Below are 6,000 nucleotides of genomic sequence, written 5' to 3'. Positions count from 1 at the left end.
AAATATATGTGGACTCACTATGACCTTTGGCTTCTCCATAAGGGGAGGTTTTATAAATTGTCAGGGCAGTATCTTATACTCTGAAACCAAATACTTGCAGCAATTCCATGACTTTTTTTTTTTTTTTTTTGTGGGAGTGGTGTGCTGTAAGGTGAAGAATTATCTCCTAGTTGATCTGTCCCATAAATTAATAGTTAACATCATAGTAATTATTGAATTATTCTAGAATAGTTTCATGAATTAAGTTAAACTCAGTTTAGTTCATGTCCAGGGTAGCAAAGAATCTCTGTCTACGTGCTCCTGAGTTCTTCAGGATAAAAACTTTATTATCAACTATTCTGAAGGAATATGTGGTACCATAACAAATTTATTTCTTGCTACCTAATGGTCCGGGAAGACTCCTCCAACATAAGTATTGAAAGTTGGCAAAGGAGACAAGAAAACAGGACTGCCATTGAGAAATTATTCTTAAAATTGGTTTCCCTGCTCTGTCAATTCTCACCACTACCCTCCCTTCTAGGGCTGCACAGTCTAAGTTTAGAGGTGAAGTGCATGCCGTGTGCGGATAGAAGACCAAGTATTTTCTCCATTCTCTCAGGGTAAACATAGACCTAACGTGTTAATGCGAGTTTTTAAAAATTCATGGTCTCAGTCAGAACTATTTTGGTTGGAAGTGACTAAACCCAACTAGGATTGGTTAAGGTGATGCGAGGGCAAGTGTGGAGCTGGGACTTGAGAAGAAATTCATACCAGGTCTCAAAACCTGTCGCTCTCACTTTCTCCTAATCTCTCCTTCTGGTTTCCATCTTTCAACCTCTCAGTTTCTGTCTTTAGGTCAGTTGTATATTTTCAGACGCACTTCCTCATGGAAATATGACCACCAGCCGCTATTATGCCAAGTACCTCCAAGTTTCACCACCAGAGGGAGAGTGAGACTAGCCTCTGATCACAGTTTAAACATCAGAGGGGAGGCTTCCTCTGATTGGCCTCGCTTGTGTTCATCCCAGCTGGGCCCGAACCTGTTCCAATCAGCTCTAAGTGGGACATGGTTTACTATCACCACCCGGGCCAATCAGAGCAGGCCTGTGAGTGGGATCTGTAAATGAACAGCAGCTTCTATTTGCTTGTGGGTATACGGGGGAAGGAGCATTTCCCGAAAGAAGGCCGTACGGTTGTGGACAATGACCACTATGCCCATTCTTACACCAGGTGAGAGTTAACAGCCTCCTTTGTACTTGTTTATTCAGCACCAGTTTATTGAACTAGGTAAGAAGGTTGGGATTGGAAGACATGGTGTCTGTACATTCCAGAGCAGAGTCCAATTGAATGGCATTTAGGGGCAAAATGCTGAGTGATTAAGAACTTGTGCTCTGACTTGGCAGACCTAAGTTCAAATCTCAACTTTACCATTTAGTTGGTGAGTGATCTTGAATGAGTTGTTTAACCTCCCTCAGACTCAGTTCTCCTTATATTCAAAGCACTTTGCCAAAGAGCCTGACATGCAGTAAGCACTCCATAAATGACAGCTACTATTATTATTCAAAAATATATCAAGTAGGTCTTATTGTCACTGTTGTGTTAATAAGACAGTGGCTTGTCTTGTGAAGACCAAATAGAATTTGGGTAAAAGTCCATATTGTTTTATTTGGATGGGGGTGGGGGCCATCAGCACCCTCACCAGAGCAGTTGCTGCTGTGAAAGAAGCCCCTGTACAAACCAGAGCTTACCTCAGAATAATTTTCTCATTATAGTGGCACCCTGTCCTAAATTTCTGTATATCTAATTTTGTGCCCCTTCCTGCCCGTTCTCTAATACTTGCTTGTCTCTCAGTCTGGGTCTTGACACACTACTACTACATTCCCGATATTCTTATTGTTCCTAACCTTCTCTGCCTGCATTTTTCTGGCGGGAGTTCCTGACTCTCAAGACAAGTGAAGCCTACATGTTTCACACCGTCGCTGGGGTAACTTACTGTGCAGGAAGGCAGGAATGCATTGGATATCAGCACTGACACAGGACAGCAGAACCAAAACAGGGAGAAGTGAGTGCAGGTACTGAAGTAGAAAGGGATGGAGAGTAAGTGAGCCACCAACGCCCTTAGAAGAAGAAAAGCATGCATCCCAAGGGACAGTGGACAGTGAGTAGCTAAACTCTTGTGGGAGGCTGCCATAAGGCAGTCTGCAGTCTACAGTCTGGTCCACGAAGGAGAAAGGAAGAGCAAGGCAAGAAAAATGAAGACACACAGTGCAAAAAAGCATGTGCAGGTGGAAGGATTAGTAGCGACTCACTTAATTGCTGAAAGGCTTGAGATTCAGACTTGAAAATGGGCAGGCACCAATGCAGCTCTGGAAGATGGGAAAGGAGGAACCTTAGCATGGTCTCCTGACAGGGCAGGGTACCACTGATAAAATCTCGAAAATCCAGGTGTTCCTTTTGTTGTGTCACTCACTCCAGATTCAGAGACCCAAGAGAGGGCATCTGACTGATGGAGCACAGGTTAGTGATTCACACCTTTGTTGTCCTGGGGCTTTGAGAGGAAAGAGCAAGTCACTTCAGCTCCTTTGAAGGGAGGTCCCCAGATCTACCATCCACCAGCATCACACACAGTGGGAGAGAGGTAGTTCCCCAAAAGGAAATTAGGGTGCTGCTAGGAAAGGGTATAGACCCCAGGCAGCCAACAAAACAGCAAATGTCCTCTGTACAGTTCCCACAACATGACATTTTTGTTATTTTAATACAGAAAAATGAGTTGCACCAATTGGAGGAAGATAAACATCTCCATAGATGGATTACATCATGCAGGGATTTTTTATTTTTTTAACAGAATCCATTTTGTAATTGTAAATTTTATATAGAAATCCAAATGTAAACAGATAAAAAGCAAAACGCTGGGTTGGAAGGGGAGAAAAGACCCCACACTCAGCCTACTTTTGGCAGCCCTGAGGTCCCACCACACAGAACCTCAGACTTTGAGAAACACAGTTTGAAAACCTCAGCTGAAAGTCCTTAATGGTGACTATTTTTTATAAACTTCAAGCACATATTGAAAGGCAATTCTCACATTAGAGTTTGTAGGGGAAAATATATGAACCAGTGTATTTAAATCGTAGTTCTTGGTCTTCCTTGCTGTCAACCAGAGGTTAAATTATGGCTGTGAAAAAATAAAAATGCAAGAATAATAGACTGTCCATAAAATGTTTCTTTGCTTTTCAGATATTTGTCCCATGTTGCTTTATCATTTCAAGTTAGTCCTGAAAGACTAGAAAATTTACTCTTTATCGTCAATATGTTGTTCTTGGAACTTGTAAAGGATGAGACTGAATGCTCTATGATTGTTAGAACCACTGTTAAAACCAGCAGAGACTGATCTCTATACAAGTAGCTTCAACGGAGTTGAAACTAAAGACTAGAGGGCATGAGCTCTACAATTACAGAGGTATTTTCTCCAGCTTAAAACGAAAGTGCATTGACTGGACAGAAAAGCAAATTGCTAGCACTAAGCCTTCCTGAATGAATAGAAGAGTTCAACGGTATCTGCACTATTCAAGCTAGCACACAGCAACTGCAACAAAAGTTACAGTCAAATTTTTTTTTCAGTTTAAAGTGATTTCCAGCATCTTCAAACAGCAACTTATATAAAAATATTAGAATATGAACTTTTTTCAAGACCTTTTTTCATCTTTAATTTAAAACAGTTCTTCCCATTCCCTTTTGCTTAATTGCCAAATAAATCATAGTTACCTAGAGATTCTCTAAATATAAACATTGGCAACTTGTTCTTTCGTCACAGTTAGAGAAAGAAAATAAATAGGTGGATATTAGTTTGTAACACTTAGGGTCAGAAAGAGGAGATTCAGGAATGTAAAGAATTATTTATTATTATTATTTTAATTGTTATTATTATCAAAAAAGTAGACTCATAAAGTCCAGCAAAGATTGTGCTAAACCTGCTGACTTTCATTCCAAATGAGGAGTTAAATACAGGTGAGAGAAAATCAGTGGTATGGGGAGTTTCAAAAAGATCTCACATTCTAAGCCTGCCTTTCACAATTTGGGATATTGTTTAATATTCATTTAGAAGAGAGGAAGAGTAAATGCTAACATTAATTAGCCCTTGAGGAAAAAAGCAAACTGAATGTGTTTCTGAACTGCTCATTTATATATAGGCATTAATTTTATCCTCAGAGAATTTACTGTTGTACCTGTGAGCCAGCATTACTGGGTTTGAATTCTTATATTTAGCTGATGCTAAAATCATGCTATGATATTTATAGGACATTTAGAGGCCTTCTGTGACTTCTAACTTTTCATTCCTGGTGTGCCATCTACACAGATGGGTGATAATTGCTTTGGGAGTTTAATAATAATATTAGTAATAGTCTTTTCCAGTTGGGAATTTATAATCTAGTGGACAAGTAAACACATACACATTTTAAAATGTGAAGTAGCAAACCAAAGCCGCACACATTTAAGGTCTGATTAGGACATACAGCAAGTACTATAAGAGTTGGGAAAAGAGAGGGGTCACCATGAGCTGTAGAGATCATTGAAAAGTTTGTGGGTCAGATATGACTTTAGCTGGGCCTTTGAAAGTTGGTGCGATTTTGATTAGAAAAAAAATAAGGGACGAGAATATCCATTTGGGGCAAGAGGATTTCCATGCACAATACTGAGAGGTATATTAGGGTAAATAAAACTAGCTGCTGAAACAATCTCCAAATCTCAATAGCTTAACACAATAAATCTTTAAAACTTTAACTAATAATTTAAAGGCACTGGAATTCTTTCTTTAGAGAGTTTCACATACTGAAATATTCCATTTCCCATGCTCTTTTTACTCCTGCTGGTTTTCACAGTTACACACTTTTGACATTGTAGATACACTAATAGCAACAGACAATAATGTCATAATTAATAGAGCTATTCACATCCCAATTCGATATGGTAGGGGTGAGCATCAGGAGAAAATAAGGGGTTCATCTCCACCCAGCTCTACCCAGTTATTCAGGGCCCTAGGCTCATTTCATGTTTTGACATGGTCATCTTCTGCATATGGCTTCCAAGTTTACCACAGAAGAAAATGACTGAACGGAGAATTGTGAATGGGAGGTTCTTATGGGCCAGCCCCAACAATGGTGTAAATTGCTTCTGCTGTCCACTGTCCAGAATGCAGTCAGCCAGCCCCAACCTAACGGCAAGGAACCTGAGAAATATATTTTATCTGTGTGCCTGACAGCAAACTTACTTGCTGAACCAAGCATTGTTTTTGTTGCAGGGGGTCATATGAGGGACAGTAAGAAGAGGCAAACTTTAATGGCAATTGCTGGTCACCTCCCCTGTTCCCATTTTTCCCTCCTAACATTACTGTAATTTTCGTACCCCATGTACCTCCTTCGCTTCAAAGGATATTGACACTGCCTTTAAGTACAACTGGAAGCAGAGAAGTTCTGTGCAGGCTAGCTATCATAGGTTATTAGAAGCCATTGTCGGTTCCTTAGTAGATAACTGACATGGTAACGCTGGCACTAGTCAATAATAGTAGAAGACTGATTGGGAAAAGGGGAGAGACTTGAAGAGGAATAATAATAATATCTTTGTATTATTTTTAGCCATATTTGTCTTTTTGTGTAATTTTTTCCCTACAACCTCTTATTATTAGTAGACAAAGAGAGTCTGGATTATTGCCCTAGTGAACAAGAAAGCAAATAACACTGAAGGGAGAGAAAGATGCCAGAATGATATTAAGTATCTGAGAATTTACATGGTCTCTAGAGAGAAGTGTAGGAGAAGGGGAGAGAGAGAATCCAGAATAGTGAAGCTTAAATGCTGAAGGAATGGACACTATCATAATCTAAAGAGACTCCTTTAACCAAAAGAATCTGAGTCACTTGAATGAACTAAATAATTACTTCCTTCCACCCCGCATTACAAAATAGGAGTGAAAATTTGAGCTTTATTATTACAAATAAAAAAAATACTTCTACCCATTGCATTTAGTAA

The 6,000-nt window shown here is 39.5% G+C and overlaps 1 annotated feature.

Annotated features, from left to right (window-relative positions):
- Positions 839-1,133: an enhancer, noted in NCBI's record as "tiled region #11420; K562 Activating DNase unmatched - State 12:CtcfO, and HepG2 Activating DNase matched - State 12:CtcfO". NCBI's record gives its function as "activates a minimal TATA promoter and a strong SV40 promoter by Sharpr-MPRA in K562 cells, with weaker activation in HepG2 cells {active_cell/tissue: HepG2 | K562}" and the evidence as "EXISTENCE:reporter gene assay evidence [ECO:0000049][PMID:27701403]".

Source organism: Homo sapiens, chromosome 4, assembly GCF_000001405.40.
Source record: "Homo sapiens chromosome 4, GRCh38.p14 Primary Assembly".
Lineage (NCBI taxonomy): Eukaryota > Metazoa > Chordata > Mammalia > Primates > Hominidae > Homo > Homo sapiens.
This window is presented reverse-complemented; position numbering and strand designations above follow the sequence as displayed.